Source organism: Homo sapiens, chromosome 6 (assembly GCF_000001405.40).
Source record: "Homo sapiens chromosome 6, GRCh38.p14 Primary Assembly".
In the NCBI taxonomy this organism is placed as follows: Eukaryota; Metazoa; Chordata; class Mammalia; order Primates; family Hominidae; genus Homo; species Homo sapiens.
Genome location: NC_000006.12, coordinates 117,383,272 through 117,403,908, shown reverse-complemented (window position 1 = coordinate 117,403,908; position 20,637 = coordinate 117,383,272). Strand labels below are relative to the sequence as shown.

Below are 20,637 nucleotides of genomic sequence, written 5' to 3'. Positions count from 1 at the left end.
TTCTAGAAAAGATTCAGCTGTAAGATGGGTAGTTGGGTTCAGATGAACTTTAATCTCAGCTGCTCTGTAACATGCTAATGCTAAGCCTTAACATTAAGGCTTATTTTATAGGGAAAATATTTATTTTATAAGGAAAATATAATGTTGGACATATATACTATTCCTTCAGTACAGCATCACGTAACCATTCACCTCATTAGTCATTATCTGCCCATCACAGCTAAGATGAGTCTAGCTAGGATGGAGGGCAGAAGAAAGATTCTCATGGGGGTTGTAGCAATTCAGAAGTACGGTCTATGGTGGTCATCCAGGACTGTGTCTTTTAGGGAAGCATGAGAAAGTTTAGAAAAAAAAAAAATAGTCCCAAGATACTATGTGTACTAACATAGAAAAATTCAAGTCCTTGAGGTAAATGCCAAATAATTGAATCCATAATTTTGCTATTTTGAAGGGGAGAATTTCTGAGTGAATTCTGCACGCTGATATCTGAATGGCTTAGCTCTAAGCTCCAGGCCTCTTATTTCATCTTCTCTGTTGAGCCATCCATCTTCTACAAATTAATCTATGCTTTTTAGTCCCAATGTGGGGTGCTGATTCTATAATGCTGATGATTGATCACTCCTTGATCTAGACTGTGTCCAGACCGTCCTATGTGGTCAAGCCCCTGCACCCCTTCACTGAGTACATTTTCCGAGTGGTTTGGATCTTCACAGCGCAGCTGCAGCTCTACTCCCCTCCAAGTCCCAGTTACAGGACTCATCCTCATGGAGGTATGGTGTGCACACATTTCTTATGAAAGGACATTATTCCAAAGCTTTGATTTAGTTTGTTTTTATTTTAAACAATGAAATAAATCTATTCCTTCCTATTAATCGATCCATTCAACAACTGGGTACATAACTATGTGCCAGGTAGTATTCTAGGTACTCACAATACCTTTATGATCAAAAGAGACAATGACCCCTGCTCCTGTGGAGCTCACTTTCTTTTTTCTTTTCTTTTCTTTTTTTTTTTTTTTTTGGAGACAGAGTCTTGCTCTGTTGCCCAGGCTGGAATGCAGTGGTGTGATCTTGGCTCACTGCAACCTCCACCTCCTGGGTTCAAGTGATTCCCCTGCCTCAGCCTTCCAAGCAGCTGGGACTCAGGCATGCACTACCATGCCTGGCTAATTTTTTGTATTTTTAGTGGAGATGGGGTTTCACCATGCTGGCCAGGCTGGTCTTGTATTCCTGACCTCAAGTGATCTGCCCGCCTTGGCCTCCCAAAGTGCTGGGATTATAGGCGTGAGCCACCTCGCCCAGCTGGAGCTCACATGTTGTTGGAACAGAAATATTCTGCAATAAACATAAGAAATAAATAAAGTATATTGTAAGTGGGATGGTGCTGTGTGCTATAGTAAGAGGAATATTTTGAGCAGGGTTTGTCATTTAGAGGATTGGAAATGAAGAGTGAAGAGGGAAGGAGAGGCCAGTGGCAGTATGAAATAAGGTGGCCAGAATGAGCCTTGGTGAGCTGGTGGGGTAAAGTTTGAGCAAAGACTTAAAGGAGGCAAGGAAGTCAACCAGGCAGCTATCTCACATAGAGAGTTTCAGGCAGAGGGATGGTCCGTGTGGAAGACCTAAGGCAAGAACATCTGTGGCCTGATCAAGGAGCAACTAGAAGGCCCACGTGGCTGAACAAGAGTGCAGGAGGCAGAGGAGTAACAGCTAAGGTCAGAGAGATGGGGGCCAGACCCAGTCTACCTCAGGGATCTTGGTAAGGAATGTGGCTTTTATTCTGGAAGGAGAGTCACTGTAAGGTTTTGAGGAGAGGAGTGACACGATCTGATGCGAACTGCCTTATACATTAAAAGGAAAACTGGCTGCTGTATGGAGAATGAACTCTGGGGTGTGGGAGGAAGCAGGAAGAACTGGTAGGAAGCCATGTGGTGACCCAGGTGAGAGGCCCAGGGGTGGTAGTGGTGTGGTATAGATATGTTTGGATTCTATTTTTATTTCTTGATGTAATTTTAGTCTTTTTATTGCCTAGGTTATAAACTTCTTTGGCTGTGGAAAAATAACATCAGTAACAAAATTCACCTCCTGTTTTTTTTTTTTTTTTTTTTTACTGAAAAGTTTGTTATTTTTTGTATTATATTTTTAATATAATTGAAAGGAAGATTGCGCACTTTTTTCATTCATTCAAGTATTTATCAAGGACTATTATATACCAGACATTGTTCTAGGAACTAAAGATGATAAAATCCTAACCCTTATGGAGCTTGCATTCCAGCTAGGGAAGACAGTCCGATAAGTAATTAAGTAAAAGTATTTTCTGGGTTATGGGAAGACCCAATGAATAGCATCCTTCTTCTTAGTCTGAATTCTGAACCAATAAAAGATAAAACAAAAACGGCCAGAAGATGGCTGCAGGAATGTCAATATTATTTCTGATAAGGGCCAAATTGTATGATGATAGATTTTAAAGTAGGAAGTGCGATGTGACACATAGCCAGAGACTTGGTCGCACAGGGCCATACTGACCCTGATAAGGAGTACAGATTTTATTCTAAGTGGGACAGAATGTCTTTGGAGTGTTCTAAGGAGGGGAGGGACTTGTTCAAATTTTAAAACTTTCAGTATGGCTGATGCATGGAGAATAGACTGGGAGGGTGGAAGGAGGGCCAGGGAAGCTGGGGAGCTGTTAGGAGGCCAAGCAAGTCAGGCTTGATTTGGTGATGGCTCTGACAAGGATGGTGATGGGAAAACAGGGAAAGGTTTGTCATATATTTTGAAGATTGAGCTGTTGGGGTGGCTGAATGGATTTGGCAAGGAAGATGGGAAAATCAAAGTTGCTAACTTAGACTTTCAGTCTGAACACCTGAATGTCATCATTTACTGAGACAGGGACAAGGGTAAAGGAGGAGTGGCTTTCCTAGATAAAATCGTCAGTTCTGTTTTGGCCAAGCAAAATTTGAGATGTCTGTTAGATATCCAAGTGGAGTTGCTGAGGAAGCAATTAAATGGAAGGATTTGGAACTGAGGAGGTAAGTCGAAGGTATCCAAACTACCAATTTAGGAGTTATCACCACGGAGATGTGATTCAAGCCATGGGCCTGGAGGCAATATGCTGAAAGTGAATGTGGTTGAAAAAAGGAGAAGGTCAAGGTGTCAGCCCAAGGGCCCTTAATATTTGGTGGCTGGGAAGAAGAAGAGGGACAGCAAAGGACATGGAGAAGGAGAGACTCAGGAGCTTGTGGTGTCTCAAAGCCAAGTGATAAAAGTGTTTCATAAATGAAGGTGATTGAGTATGAAACAGTGACATTATCTCTGGAAAGCAACAAAAAGCTTCTTATCTGCTAGATTCCTGCTTCCTCATTTTCCCACCCTTTATACAGAATGTTGCCCTATCAGAATATAACTTTATCTGAGCTGCTGTCCTCTGAATACTAATATATCCTTAGAGCAATTCTAGCTCTAAATAAATGTTATTGTTCTCTTGTTCAAAATATATTCATGGGATATCTATAGATGCATGGATACTTTAAGAAGCTTACTCCCTTGTAGAAGAGATAAAGCACATGCCTAACTAACCTCATAGTAAGGTAAAGCTTTATTAAACACATAGAAAACGTACTGACAAATTCCCATGGAAGTTTAGAGGAGGGAAGTATTTATTTCTGAAATGAAATATCAAATAAATCTCTTTGGAGGAAGTCTCATTTGTTGAGTTAGACATGAGGTGAGGAGAGAAAAGGGCAGGTCCAGGTGTCTATGTGACCAGGGTCACCAAGATTGGATTCTAAGGCATGGAGGGAAATTAGTCAGTATGCCATCTGCTGGAAGCATAGAATACAGGAAGAAAAATAGTGAGAATAACACTGGGAAGGCAGACTAGGTCCAGATTACCAAGAATCTTAAATGTCCTGGGTAAGGAGTTTGTACTTTATTTAGAATGCAGTTAGGAGCTATGGAAGGTTTTAAAGCACAATAGTAATTGCTTCACTTGCTTCTCAAAAAGAGAATTTTGGCAACTGCACATAGAATAGATTGAGAGAATGAGTGAGATTTGAAAGTACAGAGGTAGAGACCAGCTGGGAGGTTACTATATTATTTTAAGATTTTATCAAAACAGCTTTTTAAAAACAGAACATATATTGGGGTATTCTCTGACTTATTATTTTGAAGATGTGACTTCCACACCAGGAAAAGCATTCAAGCCTAGAAGCCTTAGAGGAAGGCGAATGCTGGGGCAGACACCGAGGGAGAGTTGTCTGGTGCCCTCACCCTCAGAGTTAGCTGAGGCAACCCAGGAAGACATGCTCCAGGCTGGATGCCCTAACCCTCAGCTCTGGAGATGTGCCTATGTGCAGAGAGCCTCAGGCTGAACTAGGCCTTGGACCTAAGCAGAGCCGAGCAGCTGATGAAGTGGGTTGGGGCATTTTCCCCCTTCCCTGATGGTTGCTCTCTCCTTGCTTGTCAGATCTCAGGGTTTGTGTGGCCACCTCTGCTGATTATTCTGACTATTCTTGCTTAGCGCCTCAGACCAAACACTGGCCTAGGACCATGTTCGAAATTTTCCAGATCAGAGGAGAATGAATTCTTCCTTGTTCCAAGCAATGCCATATGTTATCCAACAGTGCTGGGACATTTTCCGGTGCTACAGAAATACCGTGCAGGGACATTGGCTGGGCAAATCAAAATAATGAAAACAAATTTTGCTGTTCATTTCTGGGCCTTTCTCCTGGATAAGCAAGCTCACATACCCTCTGTGTCTTCTAGACCCTACATGGGTGTCCTTCTTATGGATAGCATCTCATGTTTCTGATTCTCACTTTTCTAGCTACATCAAAACTTAGAAACTTATCTGTATTGTGTTAATTGCCTCATAACCCTATTCTCTTTTAGCTGTGGGAATGACATGATTTTAGATGGTGCTATTGCCTTTTTTTTTTTTTTTAAGACAGAGTCTCGCTGTTGCCCAGGCTGGAGTACAGTAGCACGATCTCAGCTCACTGCAACCTCCACCTCCTGGGTTCAATCGATTCTCCTGCCTCAGCCTCCTGAGTAGCTGGGACTACAGGTGCATGCCACCATGCCTGGTTACTTTTTGTAGTTTTAGTAGAGATGGGGTTTCACCATGTTAGCCAGGATGGTCTCAATCTCCTGACCTCGTGATCCGCCCGCCTCGGCCTCCTAAAGTGCTGGGATTACAAGCATGAGTCACCGCGAGTTTTTTTTTTTTTTTTTTTGAGACAAGGTCTCACTCTGTCACCCAGGTTGCAGTGCAGTGGCACAATTTCGGCTCACTGCAACTTCTGCCTCCTGGGTTCAAGTGATTCTTGTGCCTCAGCCTCCCAGGTAGCTGGGATTACAGGCATGCGCCACCATGCCTGGCTAATTTTTGTAATTTTAGTAGAGATGGGTTTTTGCCATGTAGGCCAGGCTGATCTCGAACTCCTGGCCTCAAGCGATTGGTCCACGTTTGGCCTTCCAAAGTGCTAGGATTACAGGTGTAAACCACTGCACCCGGCCTAAATGGTGCTATTGCCTTTTAACTGGGTCTTTTCAGAAAATAATTTCTTAACAAAGGAATGATTGTCAGACAAGGGATACCAGCATTTCAGGGATGATTTTTGTGTTGTTGTTTTTTTTTCGGTGGGGAAGACCTGGACAATGATCGCATCTTGCCATGTAGGTGACATTTAACTTGCTTCAATGGTGGAAGATCACATTTGGGCATTGACCCTAATGACTTAAAATTTTGACATTCTAATTATATTATAATTCAGTGGGAGAAATTTATTTCTTCCCTGTTTATCATGGTGACTGACTACATGGAGCCGAGGAGTGATGCAATGATGCTTGTGTTTGCTGAAAATTAGTCTGAGAGTTAGAGATGAATTGCATCAGAGAAAGGCTGAGAGAGCAATTAAAAGGGCTTTTAAAAGTCAGTGGTGATGCAGAGCATTTGCCAAAAGTGTTCAGAGGGAGAGAAATCTACTCAAGAGCAAAGTAACTTCTAATTGTGTCTTTCTATGGAAAGAGGAGAGAAAGAGTCTGGTTTTAGGGGTTTGGTTTGAAAAGCAGGTGGAGACACAGATGGAAGCTAGGCTGTCAGATCATTTGTTGTCCTTTCTTTTTCCACTTAAGTAGCTGCTGGGGACTGTGTGTGAACGCTCAGTTGTTTCATACATGCTCCTTTAATCCTTTGCCAGGGCAGGGGTGCTGAAGCTCAGTCAGCCTGGATTTCCAGGACCTGAGAGCTGGGGTAAGGAAAATGTAGTCTGGGTCATTAGAGCTGATGCCAACAAAAGTGAAGCCAACTGTTCGAATTCCAGCTTGTCTGAACCCACATCTCCAGCTGGAACCAGCAAGGCTGCCCCACTCAAATGAGTGAAAAGGCCCCAGGATGGACTTTTTTTTAAACTCGTCGATCATTGACTCCAGTTTTAGTCAGACTCTCCTCTTCTTCCTAAACTGGTTCCATCCCATGTTTCAACTCATTTAAGTCTCTAGAGATTCCTGATGACTTTTTTTAAAAGGGCCATTATTGTATTCGTATACACTATATTTAATTTTATTTCATTAATTAGAAGTGAGGAAAGTAACATTTGAAAGGGCCTCTTGGGAAAGGAGCGAACTGGTTTAGACATCTTACCACCTTTCCTCTATCACATATTTTGAGTATTAATAAAATTATTTCGTTTCCATTAAGTTTTCAAAAAAAAAAACAAGACTTTTTTCCATCTTATTTTAAAAACATCATGCTTGCACATTTTTCTGCTCATTATGTCACCATTATCTCTTCCAGTTCCTGAAACTGCACCTTTGATTAGGAATATTGAGAGCTCAAGTCCCGACACTGTGGAAGTCAGCTGGGATCCACCTCAATTCCCAGGTGGACCTATTTTGGGTTATAACTTAAGGCTGATCAGCAAAAATCAAAAATTAGATGCAGGGACACAGAGAACCAGTTTCCAGTTTTACTCCACTTTACCAAATACTATCTACAGGTAAGAATTAAGTGATACAGAGGAAAATGTAACCAGCATGGCTGCAGGCATGATAATTATTTAAGAAATATGGGTATCAAATAGTTTAAATGTGCTTTGAGAAGCGCCACTGACTCCATGGTGTTGGGTTGAAGTCATTGTGGTTTTCCTCAGGCTTATATGCCTATTAGATTATAGCATCCTAAGCAAAAACATTCTCAAGTATTTCTATTATATTCAGAGGATACTTATAAATATGGCTAATAAAGACATCGTAAACACCATGAATGTCAAATTTTCATTTAATCCAATATGAAAAAAGTAAGGAGGTAGAGTTCTGTTTAGGCATTTTTATTAACCATTAGGGTAATTATTTTATTATTGTTAGCTTTTCTATCATTTACTAGAGCCTCTTTAAATTCGGAGAAGAATGGGGGTCATGCAGATAGCAGAGTTCAGCTTTTGACCTCTATGACCCTGAACTGTTCTAGGGGAATGCAAACAAGGATGTGATTGATGGTCATTTCGGTGCTGAGCAGTGGCACCACGTAACTAGACTCATGCATTGCCACATCACCCTTTAAATAGAAATGTTATTGCTCCTTCTATTTTTATCTCATGTTCACACCATGCCATGTGAAACACGTCTCTCCAAATTGTTTTTGGAATAGGTTTTCTATTGCAGCAGTAAATGAAGTTGGTGAGGGTCCAGAAGCAGAATCTAGTATTACCACTTCATCTTCAGCAGGTATGGGTCAGGCTTCTTCCTTTAGCTACACAGGAATGAGGGTGGCAAGGGTGGTTTCAGAGCCAGAAGCCCTGGGTCACCTGGTAGACCTCAAGACCCACCTCTTCTGCCCAAATGATTATTGTCTTTTGGGTACTTGTTAAGTTTTCCATTTTAAATGAACCTAAGTATTTGATGAATTAAAGTAAGTGGTTAGATATTAGAATTTGGGAATTGAAAATCAGAATAAAAAATTTAGGGTTTTAAAAAAATGGCCTCAAATCTTTGGTTTCAGTTGAAATCACTAGTGTTTCTGACTCACATTTACACACTTAAGGGATACATATAACTTTTCTGCCCTAATCCCTATTTTAGATTATATATAATTATTTAATATATATCAGACATTGTTTTCCAGTATCTTTGTTTTTAAATATATCTGGACTTTAATAATTTACATTTTACTATATAAGTATTCAGTCTGCCAAAGTATCTTTTATTATTTTGTAAGCACCCTTTCTTTTTGGCTTTGGTGTTTTATTGATTACCTCAAGTGACTGAATACTTACTGTATGATATATGTGTGAGCAAAATAACAAATGAAAATGCTTTCTAAGAAGTACTGGAAATTTGAGGGGAAACTAATAAAAGATTTTTGAGAACATCCAAAGATTCACAATTCTGGGAGCCTGTTTTCTATTTTTACTAGAACCCTATTTGCTGACTTGACTGCCCCTTACTCTAATCTGTACATGCCTGTGCCAATGGGTATTGAGTGTCATCCATCATCAGCCTTTGTTTTTTTGGCTGTTCCTAGACTCTAGGAAAGGAGAGGTATTTTTGTTATGTAAGAAGCACGTCCAAAGGGTGAGTTAAATATAGAGCAGGGTTAAGGTTGTTGTTACTGTGATTATTGCATAACATTCATTAAATACCCTAAAAATGTTCACCCATGCACCTTGTGTCAGTCTCCACTTGAACAGGATATCAAGCAGAGTTCTGCAGCCTTCCAATGTCATTCCTTTAAGGACCTTTCTTCTGCCCTAAAGGCAAAGATACTGAAGACAACACAGAGACAACCAGTGTCTGACAATATGTGTGTGTCATGCATAACCCACTCTGGCCTGGGGTGGACCACCTCCACCGAGCCAATTCTCATGGCTGAAAATAATAAGCTGAGCTGGGGCAAGGTTGTTGAGAATAGTGATACATCATGTGATGTCATTTCTGGGTTATTTAGGGGCATATGAACATAAATCCTATTTGATTGTTACTGTACTTCCTACCTCCAATCATAGAATAATGTGAGTTATACCATAGATGCAATTCTCCAGTGCCATTAGAGAAAATTTGACCAGCCTCTTTCAAGCACTAGTCCCCTTGCTTTGAAGGGTAGTACTGATCTTTTTTGTGTCTGTTAGTGTACCTGTGGTTGGTCTACCTGTCTGCAAATTGTGTTGTTTTTTTCAGTTCAACAAGAGGAACAGTGGCTCTTTTTATCCAGAAAAACTTCTCTAAGAAAGAGATCTTTAAAACATTTAGTAGATGAAGCACATTGCCTTCGGTTGGATGCTATATACCATAATATTACAGGTCAGTATGATAAGGATAAATGATTCCTTAGTGTGAAAAGAAGATTCTAAAAGAAGTACTTCTAGAATAAAAGAAAATTTTTGAATATTTCTGGAACATATTCTCTTAATATCCTAATATATTAGAATAATTTAGAAGAATATTTTCTTTTAAAATAAAATACTTCTATTTTAATTTATTAATCATTAAATAAATAAATTCTCATTCATACAAGTTTTTTGTCCTGGTTGTTATATAATAATGTGTGTGCACTTGCATGGCTCTTCTAGGAATATCTGTTGATGTCCACCAGCAAATTGTTTATTTCTCTGAAGGAACTCTCATATGGGCGAAGAAGGCTGCCAACATGTCTGATGTATCTGACCTGAGAATTTTTTACAGAGGTTCAGGATTAATTTCTTCTATCTCCATAGATTGGCTTTATCAAAGAATGTATTTCATCATGGATGAACTGGTTAGTCCGAGAAGTTAAAGAGGAATAGTGATAGACAGTGATACTGATATGCATATCTTGGTATATTTAATACTAAACACAATTGCCTTATTCAATACATACTCAAGTATTTACTATGCCTTAGATACTAGGTTATCAATGAATCATAGATCTGGCCTATAGGAGGGTGTAGCCTTTACCTAGTGCTAGTCCTGACATAGCATTAAATCACCTTTATTTGTACTTTTTTAGAGTCATGAGTTTATACTAAAAATAATTCATCTTCTATAAGATAGTGGTGGTACCTGTCTTATTGTTAGGTAAGACTGCCAGTCATGATCAAAGTTAGCTGCAAGCATTTAAAATTATATCATAACCAGAGGGAAATTTAGTAGTTCTCCAAAAACACAGTAGTACTGTACTTTTCGGAAGACCATTTTTTGTTGTTGTTGTTGGTGGTGGTGGTGCATAAGGACTATTTTGAGCTGATGAAGACACAGTCTTGACATGTTTCAAATTCTACTTCTTTGGAAGGTACAGGCTTATCACAGTAAGCAACAGCCATTGCTGTGGTTGAAAGTGCATAAACCTAGATATCGCTTAAATGTTAAAAATAGTTGAATGCCTCTACAAGCCAGGAAAATAGGCACTTGTATTGCATTGATGTCAATAATGTATAAATTCATTAGGATATAGGATATAAAACTGTCGTTTAAGGGCTTTTTTTTGCTCATTTGTCTTGGGCAGTGCTCAGTGCCTAGTACAATTCCAACAGAACAGATACTCAGGGATACTTGTTGGCTGAATTTAATGCTGTATAGACAGATGCTAATCCTACCGGTATATTTTTTATTTTTTTAGGTATGTGTCTGTGATTTAGAGAACTGCTCAAACATCGAGGAAATTACTCCACCCTCTATTAGTGCACCTCAAAAAATTGTGGCTGATTCATACAATGGGTATGTGTTAGCCTTGTAAAGATGAATTCTCTTCCATTGGGAATAAATAATCTTTGAGAAACTTGCTTGCTAATGAAACATTGTAGTACCAGATGAGCCTATCTATGCATCTTACTTTAGGTGAATTTAATTAAATTCAGGCAAAGTTTTCATTCTGTAGAGCCAGGAGGGAATGTTTTTTCAAACATAAATCAACTCTTATAAAGTAGTTATTTCTCTCTCCTTCACAGCCAAATATGGGAATATGGGAAAGACCTCCTGTCTGGGAGTCAGGGGTTGGGTTCTAGTCCTGGATTTGCCACTTCTTTATCATGGGATTGAGTCTCACTTTCCGCCTCAACACTACCTGTGATAAAGCCCCTTCATTCCACCTGTTCCTTTTGCTGAGCCATTCAACTGTAGTTCATTCCTCTGGTTTGGTTCTCACATCTATCAAGAGGTTCTTTAATAAGAAAGCTGCTAGCTTCCACCTTAGGAGACAGGAGCTGATTGATAACTCTGCCTCCTACCCCCAAATGAAATGGACACATTGTACCGCAGTCTTGCTGTTAAATTGGAGTAGTACCTGAAGCAAGTAATATCATGTCTATGACCATTGATTTATCAATCCATATAGGGAAGGTAATAATACTTACCCAGTTGGGTTATTTTGAAGACAAAATGAGGTATTTATTGTGCATGTATTTTGTGAACTCCAGATATATATGAATATGAAGGATAAACACATAGAAAGTTATTTTGGAGTTATTATTTCTCAGATATGACCAGATAATAACAGATTAGTAACCAGTAGGCAAAGCCCATGTTTGTAAGATTAAACTTTTTTCTTTCCTGTAGGAATAAAGTTGCTTTCATTTTGAATGAAAAAAAAAATACAGCTCATAACATGTTTTTCACAAACAAAACTTTCTTTTAAAAAAGATTGTTCATTATAGATTTTAAAATCAAGCTTTCTATTCCTATTCATTCACAATTTACTAAAGATTTATTTTAACTTCTAGGTTTGAATGAATTACTGAATTATGGAATATTTAATGCTTTGTGATGTAGGACAAGGATTCTCTGGATCTTACTGTTTTCATGTGTAAAGGTCTACGGTCCTATGAAATGTAACTTTGTTGTTGACACTTACACAAAATGACTCATTCTGAGGATAATGAACTTTACCCACTAATCGATCATTCAAATGCGATCACTGAGGTCTTCAGTGGCTCTTTTTTTCCATTAGGATAAAATGGATTTGTGCTTAGATTTTGCAATGTGACTAGAAATGATAATGATAATTAGTATTTATACTGAATGTGTGTTTCTAAGTGTATTATGTCCAATAATTCATTTAATTTGTATTCAACCCTATGAAATAAGTACTTTTATTATTCTAGTTTTATAGATAAGGAAAGGGAAACACGGGTTGATTCCGTAATTGTCTAAGATTATACAGCTGTTTTGCGATGGAACCAGTGGAACCAGACAGGCCCTGGAACAAGAAATCTTGCTCCAGGACTTCTAGCTCCAGGGCCTGTCTTCTAACCATCTCTCTATACCATGATAGGAGAGTTTCTATAAAAATCAGCATGTAACTTTCAGCAATAGTTTGTGTTTAGTAGTCCTAAAGGACATCAGATGTGTGAAACAGTGTATTGTCCTGGTATTAGAAATATTTTCCTCTATGCTGTTCTTTTTGCACTGCAAATTGTCTCCTCATTGAGTTCAGACTTACTGTAAAACCTCTGCTTTTCTTCCTACCACCACTTCCCCATCTTCTTCCACCCCAGCTTCTCCTCCTCACTCTGTCCTCCTCTTCCCATGCACCAGATCTCTTCACCTTTTCTATTTTTCTTTCTCTTCCTCCCTGCTTCAATATAATAATTGTAATATTTACCACAGATAGTTTTCCTTTTATCTACTCTGAAATTCCTCCAAATTCCATTAACAATTTTGAATTTAGGAAACAAAAGCAGAAAATTAAGAGCCAAGCTGTTTTTGCTTTTTGCCTGCTACAATCCGTCCTCAGGGAAAAGAACATAGCTACATATCTCAAAATGGAGCTTATATCTCAGGATATTATTCTAGCATAGGAGTTTTGAGAAAATTGATCAAGATTTGGAATAGTCATCAAGGGGAATTAGAGCAGAACTAAATAAGGACAAGGAAAATGATTTGACAGTTTTGATGAGAGGTTGGAATGCTGCCAGTCCTTGGGGTTGGGATAAGAATTTATCAAAGTATACTTCTGTTAGCACCTTTCTCCATAATCACGAATTGTAAATTAGCTACATCCACATTAATGGTTTTATATTTTAGTTAAAAGTTTATTTACATATTTCATTGTCAATGAAATATTTTGGCAGTATGTTTTCTTTTTCATTATTAAAATAACCTGCCTCGTTACTGTGAGGTTTGACTTTAAATTAGATGTGCTTCTCTAATTCTTCCGTTGGCTTCTTTCTCCTGATTGCTGGATTTTCCTGCTTCAGTCATGTGTGGGGTATTTCTTTGTGGTTTATAAAATGGTAGCTCTATTGCCTGCATCAATTGTAGATTAAAAAAAATTAGTCCACTGCAAATGCAAAGTAGCCATGCTAGTTATAGCAAAATGATAACTGTACAATTAAAAATGGTTTAAATGTTTTACTTTCTTCCATTTATCACTCAGAATGCATGAGAAAATTTACTGATAAAATTAGACTTAAGGATGTGTGTTTTTTGGAGGAAAATGTTTGATAGTAAATACCATATTTAGCCATGTGATTTCTATATAGTATGTTTTCCTTTAAAATTTTGAAAGACCCTTCCTGGCCAGGGCTGGTGGCTAATGCCTGTAATCCCAGCACTTTGGGAAGCCAAGGTGTGCAGATCACTTGAGCCCAGGAGTTCAGGACTAGCTTGGGCAACACGGTGATACCCTGTCTCCACAAAAAATACAAAAATTAGCCGAGCACGGTGGCAAGCCTGTGGTCCCAGCTACATGGGATACTGAGGTGTGGGAGGATCACCTGAACCCAGGAGGTTGAGGCTGCAGTGAGCTGTGATTGTGTCACTGAACTCCAGCCTGGGTGACAGAGTAAGACCTTGTCTCAAAAAAATAAAAGACCCTTCCTGTTTTTGAATTTTTTGATTCCTTAAAAAGTCACTTATAATAATTAAGAGACTAAGCATTACAAGTGAGGCTGAAATTTTCTAATGTTCCAACTTGTAACTTAAACGAATAGAGTATATCTTAGGAAATTACCTTTTTCTACCTTGGAAAATCCTGTACTTAGCAACATCAGAGATACATAGTTCTGATTGTGCAACAGAATGAAGCAATTAGCTGAGGAGGTTACTCATCAACCTTTGGACTGAATCTCATGAGGTTTCTTTTGTTCCTGTGTCAGGTATGTCTTTTACCTCCTGAGAGATGGCATTTATAGAGCAGACCTTCCTGTACCATCTGGCCGGTGTGCAGAAGCTGTGCGTATTGTGGAGAGTTGCACGTTAAAGGACTTTGCAATCAAGCCACAAGCCAAGCGAATCATTTACTTCAATGACACTGCCCAAGTCTTCATGTCAACATTTCTGGATGGCTCTGCTTCCCATCTCATCCTACCTCGCATCCCCTTTGCTGATGTGAAAAGTTTTGCTTGTGAAAACAATGACTTTCTTGTCACAGATGGCAAGGTCATTTTCCAACAGGATGCTTTGTCTTTTAATGAATTCATCGTGGGATGTGACCTGAGTCACATAGAAGAATTTGGGTTTGGTAACTTGGTCATCTTTGGCTCATCCTCCCAGCTGCACCCTCTGCCAGGCCGCCCGCAGGAGCTTTCGGTGCTGTTTGGCTCTCACCAGGCTCTTGTTCAATGGAAGCCTCCTGCCCTTGCCATAGGAGCCAGTGAGTGCTCTGTCCCCAGTGTGGTTACTGGCCTTGCTGGAATAAGAGGAAGGTTTGAACTGCTTGGCGTTGTGATTCAATTTTGAGAGCCCCATTTGGCTATTCAGTCATCAACCAGAAGCAGCTACTTAGCTAAAAAAAAAGTTTATACATTTGTTCTGCATTTATTAGTTTTACATTAGGAGAATCTCTATACTTCTCATGTATATCCCAATAGAATAATTTGAACATTTATTGAGTGTCTGCTAAGATCCAGGCATTGACATTCTAGTCAGAACAAATAGCCAGGGAGATAGAATACTTGGGTTGAGATTTTTTGTGCTGTTGAAAGCTTGCATGAATTTCAGCAATTCCCTAAAACTCTGAACTCGAATCTCCATCTCTGGAGAGAGGTAGTATGTGGGTGGGTAAGCAGGTGGGCTCTGGAGTCAGCCTGCACGGATTCAAATACTTGCCATTTGTTAATAGAATGACCCTGGGCAAGTTACTAAACCACTCTGTGTCTCAGTTTCCACACCTGGAAATGGGGAATATTTATTATATCTTTTAATGGAACTGTTGTACAGATAAAATTAAAACACATTAGTAGAGCACTTAGAACAGTATCTAGCACAGAGGTCAGCAAACTTTTTCTGTAAAGGAAAGACCAGATAGTAAATATTTTTATTTACTTTGTGGGTCAGATGGTCCCTGTCAGCTACTCAATTATGTCGTTGTAGTGTGAAGACAGTCATAGATAATATGTAAATGAATAACTGTGGCTGTGTTCCATTACAACTTTATTTACAGAAACAGTGGGCCAGGTTTGGCCTGTGAGTGGAGTTTGCCAATCCCTGATCCCCTAGACGATAGTAAGTATTTAGAAAACATTGGCTGTTTTTGCTTTAGAACAAAGTTAATTATGTCTGTTTGCTGCATATCTCAAAGATGGCTGAAAATGAATAGGTAATTTTTTTTTATTGATTGGGCTTCTTGGAGGAAGGTACTATACAAACAGTGGTAATTACATTAAAGGTTCATCATTAAGCATTTTTTATTAAGAGCCTGATTATATCTATTAGTGTTGTAGAGAACCCCTCTGACAATTATATGCAGCAAGCATATAGCTTTGACTGAAGGACAGTCCTATTTGTTGGGAATGCTGTCTCCTTCAATGCAGCCAAATGAGCGGCATGAGGAATGAACACTGTCCTAGCCTCATCAACAAATGATCCCTGGTGATTATCGGGGTAGCGGATATTACTGCCCAATTGCTCTCCCATTTGAGATGAGGCTGTAGGTGAATTTATGGAGAATCCTTGGTTTGCCCTTGCAGATGTCATCCTGATCAGTGATATTATTGAACTCTTTGAATTAGGCCCTTCTGCCTGGCAGAACTGGACCTATGAGGTGAAAGTATCCACCCAAGACCCTCCTGAAGTCACTCATATTTTCTTGAACATAAGTGGAACCATGCTGAATGTACCTGAGCTGCAGAGTGCTATGAAATACAAGGTTTCTGTGAGAGCAAGTTCTCCAAAGAGGCCAGGCCCCTGGTCAGAGCCCTCAGTGGGTACTACCCTGGTGCCAGGTGAGAAAATGTTCTGGATTTAGGGAGTGACTCTCACAAAAAGAGGACTAGCTGAGTGCCCTTTAAATTTCCTTGCCTTGGGTTTAAAGAAATGAGAATGAGGGTGTATTGACCTCTTGAGTATGTGTTTGAGTAAACACATATTGAGTACATATTTATTTTCTGAGATTAGGAAAGCAAATAAAGCACTGTGTGATATTTAATTAGTGTTTCTAACCTGCCATTTTAAACTTTCCAAGATATTTTTTAAGGAAACACTATAATTGATTCTTTACGGGTTTCTTCTTTCTTATGGTATATTAAGCAGTGGCATTTCTGAACTCTGAGGGTCTTGCTGAGAGAAGTTGAGAGGCTGTGAATTATGCTGAATTCCATCCTCTTGGCTGAAAAGAAATGGAAGGATGACTATACCATTCATATTACTATTGTTAACACAGTCTCTTCTGGATGCTCTGAATGAGACCATGACAAACAGTAGTCAAAGCCCCCTCAAAAAAAATTCTGCAATGATCAAGACACCGTTATAGAGGCAATCTCACCATGCGTTTTTCTTCACATTTCAAAAATTTATGTGAAAATCAGAAAGTATGTTTAATGGGATCATTCTTGTTACACAGATAACAATTACTCATATCCTTTTATAGAACTTTTCAAAGTGTTGACATTCTTTTACTTTATATAGAAAATCATAAGATATAAGGCATAGATATAAGTATATAAGATACCTTTAAAGAGTTTGCTTTCCCTGATGTTTCTTTTAATTTCTTTTTTACTAAACAGCTAGTGAACCACCATTTATCATGGCTGTGAAAGAAGATGGGCTTTGGAGTAAACCATTAAATAGCTTTGGCCCAGGAGAGTTCTTATCCTCTGATATAGGAAATGTGTCAGGTAAACCCCAAGTCCTCTGTTCACTTGAATGACAGATTTCTACTCATAAGACTTCCCACATCATTCAATGAATCAAAAGAATAGGGTATTTTTGTATTTGGTCAATAGTGAAAGGAAAAAATATTGACTGAACTCTACTGCCAGTGATTCTGTTAAGAAAATGTCAGTTCTTAGATAGGAACGCTATTTATTAAGTCACAAAATGTGAGGTTGTTTCTAGTTTTATGCCCACCAGGAAGGCTTTGATATAATGCTGATGTATTAATCTACCAATGCCATCTCACATTAACAGCCTATCTTGTTCCACTAAGACAGTTATACTTAAATAATTTACTGTGCATTTGCTATAAGACAGGAGCAGAAACTGCTGCATAGAGTTCTAAATAAGGTATAAGGAATAATTGGTTGACAAAGAGGATTATTAAGTAATGAATGGGTAATTTGCCTGGAAGGCGTTAGAAGGAAGAAAAGTCTTCATTCTAGGGTGTTATAACAGTGATCTTGCCTGAAGATGACATCTTCCATAGTTATCTAATTGTTTATTGATTTATTTGGCCATTAAAAGTACAACAGCATTTCTGACCAACATAGGAGCCAAATGTAGGTAATGTGGCACCAATGGAGAGAATGCCACTTTGGCATTGGCTGAGTCTGGGCTTCCTCTTGATGTATCTGTGAGCCCTCAGGCAGAACACATGATCTCACCTTGTCTCAGGTTTACCATCTCAAAAATGAGAATAATTCCTACTTCATAATTTTGTTTTAGGAACTAAATGAGATCTGTAAACTGCCTGGGACAATGTTTGGCAAAGAGGAGATGCTCGATGTGTATCCACTGTTCTCCCTGGTTTCAGGGGTTAAGAGTTTGGGAAACATTATTTAAATATTCTTGACAGATCAAGTTCTAGTGAATATGTGTCAGTGTGTTGTTTAAAATTATGTTGAGGTGCAGATGTGATTTGTTGACTCATTATGTTTTTGTTGGTATGTATGAAAAATAACTGCTAATCATTCACTTTATTTTGAGACATGGATTGGTATAACAACAGCCTCTACTACAGTGACACGAAAGGCGACGTTTTTGTGTGGCTGCTGAATGGGACGGATATCTCAGAGAATTATCACCTACCCAGCATTGCAGGAGCAGGGGCTTTAGCTTTTGAGTGGCTGGGTCACTTTCTCTACTGGGCTGGAAAGACATATGTGGTGAGTTAAAGCATGGCATTCTGGATGCTCTAGAATGATACTTATCCACTTCAGTGACTTGCACACCAATTTCTTTTTTTTTTTTAAATACCTGTGCACCACTTATGCTATTATTTATTTAATGTTTATCTTTAAACCAAGTCACTTAAACATTTTTTTTTTCTTTTTTTGAGACACAATTTCACCCTGCTGCCCAGGCTGGAGTGCAGTGGCGCCATCTTGGCCTCTGCCTCCCGAGTAGCTGGAATTACAGGCATATGCCACCATGCCTGGCTACTTCTTGCATTTTCAGTGGAGATGGGGTTTCACCACGTTGGCCAGGCTGGTCTCGAACTCCTGACCTCAAGAGATCTGCCTGCCTCGGCCTCCCAAAGTGCTGGGATTACAGGCGTGAGCCACCGCTCCCGGCCTCATCTCACTTTTAAAATATGTTTTTTTGTAAATTAAATTTGTTATCACTATTTGTTGAATTAGGTATTTTTTCCCCAATAATAATTTAAATAAATACATGAAAATGCTCACCTGAGCGTTGGTTCTTGGCAGGAACATGGCATGCTCCAAAAGCATGATTCAAGGCAACTAAGTGAAGAGACTATTTTCAAAGGTGTGCACAGGGCTAGGGAAAATGAACAAATGATGGTGAGGCATCCTCACGGTTTACAAGTGTGCGAAGACATAAGTCTAGGTGTGAATAGGCAAGGGGAAGAAGTGGAAGAACCTGGTGAGGGCTGTAGCTGTAGGAGAGTAGCTGATATGGACTGTGACTTTAGGCACAGAAGCTGGCCACTATCAAGATGTATGGTCTGGCAAGGAGCCAGCTAAAGGAATAAGAACCCCAACCCCTCCTTCCTCCTGCCCTCTAATCTGCCAGTGCTTCCATTGGCTGAACCTCCCCAGAAGCCAGACAACAACCCTTCAGCCTAGCAGATAAAGTCCATAGATGTTGGCCTATGGGGGCACAGAGTAGGGTGGAGAAGGGTGGGAATTAGACCTAGAGGCAAAATAAAGACATCCAGCACACCTGTGGAGTGATATATTTTGAAGAGAAAGATGATGGCTAATGACAAGAACATTGGCCTGACAGATCAAGAAATAAGGTATTGAAATAATTTTTAATCAGGAAAGTACTTGCTGTCCATTTATTTATTTGTCCAGCAATCATTTATCTACTACCAATGCGTTGAAATCCTTGAAAGAAGGCAAAGTAGGGAATATAAAACAAATAGCCGACATGTCCCTGCTATTTTAAAAACAACTTTGTTGTGATATAATTCACATAACACAAAATTCATTCTTTTATTGTGTAGAATTCAGAGATTTTTTAGTGTGTCCATTGATGTACAGCCATCATCAGTTGTCCCTGCTCTTCTGAGGAGATAAAATACATATATAAAATAAAGAAGCATATGAAGCAATGTATTTAGAGACAAAGCAATATGGTACAATCTGAATTCATAAGTGCCAAAGATGTGCAAGCAGAATGAAATTGAGTGGGGTTAGTCAGAAAACACTCCCTCAAATAGGTTAGTTTAAAAATAGTTTTGAAAAAGGAAATGGAAGAGTGGACATAAAAACCAGTTTTAAGTATTTTCTCTATCTCTTATTAAAGTGTTTAACTCCAGGACAAATTGTTTAACTTTAATCCACTTTACCTGTGAAAAAATAGGGAATAGAAATCCTTCATAAGCTTAATGTGAGGATTACAGGAGTTTATATTTTTAAAGATAAAAAAGTACAGTGCCTGGCACATTATTGATAATCATGAAATATTAGGGAACTACACTGATAGAGAAGAGCAAGGAGAGATGTCATCATTTATAGGGACATAAACATCTTTTTTCGGGAGTCTAATCAAATATATTCCTATCCAGCAGTGTTCACATTGTCTGGATGTATAATTAGGAAAAGCAGTTATTTTTATGCAAAGTAAATTTAGTTCCCTTCTCTTTGGAGGCATGAAAACAGATAAGCCCCATGAGGGCAGGTGCCATGCCTGTTTGCTTGTTGCTGTGTTTCCAAGGCTTATTACACTACCCAGCACATAGTGCCAATCACTATTTGTGGTTGAATGAATGAATGATTAATCAAGCAATTTATTAATGATTGCAATAAATATTCAGAAATAATAATGTCACTTGAAAGCCATTAACTGGCCATACAATTATGTTTTTTAGATACAAAGGCAGTCTGTGTTGACGGGACACACAGACATTGTTACCCACGTGAAGCTATTGGTGAATGACATGGTGGTGGATTCAGTTGGTGGATATCTCTACTGGACCACACTCTATTCAGTGGAAAGCACCAGACTAAATGGGGAAAGTTCCCTTGTACTACAGACACAGCCTTGGTTTTCTGGGAAAAAGGTGACAAATTAAAAGATCTGATCATTTAGTAATACTGAATAGCTC

At 39.0% G+C, this 20,637-nt stretch overlaps 1 protein-coding gene across 17 annotated transcripts in view, besides 1 other annotated feature; it reads left to right on the top strand.

The window, feature by feature from the left end:
• ROS1 (ROS proto-oncogene 1, receptor tyrosine kinase) overlaps positions 1-20,637 on the top strand; it is a 138,590-nt gene that overhangs the window by 22,034 nt on the left and 95,919 nt on the right. For 9 of the 17 annotated variants that reach the window (NM_002944.3, XM_011536051.3, XM_011536050.3 and 6 more), the window contains 11 exons: positions 632-770; positions 6,793-6,994; positions 7,645-7,721; positions 9,171-9,293; positions 9,563-9,747; positions 10,588-10,685; positions 14,063-14,559; positions 15,875-16,129; positions 16,910-17,020; positions 18,048-18,226; positions 20,401-20,592. In NM_002944.3, coding sequence (NP_002935.2) covers positions 632-770; positions 6,793-6,994; positions 7,645-7,721; positions 9,171-9,293; positions 9,563-9,747; positions 10,588-10,685; positions 14,063-14,559; positions 15,875-16,129; positions 16,910-17,020; positions 18,048-18,226; positions 20,401-20,592 — 2,058 coding nt within the window. The remainder of the gene's footprint in view (positions 1-631; positions 771-6,792; positions 6,995-7,644; positions 7,722-9,170; positions 9,294-9,562; positions 9,748-10,587; positions 10,686-14,062; positions 14,560-15,874; positions 16,130-16,909; positions 17,021-18,047; positions 18,227-20,400; positions 20,593-20,637) is intronic. The other 8 variants (XM_017011173.2, XM_017011172.2, NM_001378902.1 and 5 more) reach the window with 2 other exon arrangements.
• Positions 8,285-8,454: an enhancer, noted in NCBI's record as "experimental_88320 CRE fragment used in MPRA reporter constructs". NCBI's record gives its function as "activates a minimal promoter by MPRAs in K562 erythroleukemia cells, with activity observed for both the introgressed and non-introgressed 6:117716703 variant alleles {active_cell/tissue: K562}" and the evidence as "EXISTENCE:reporter gene assay evidence [ECO:0000049][PMID:34662402]".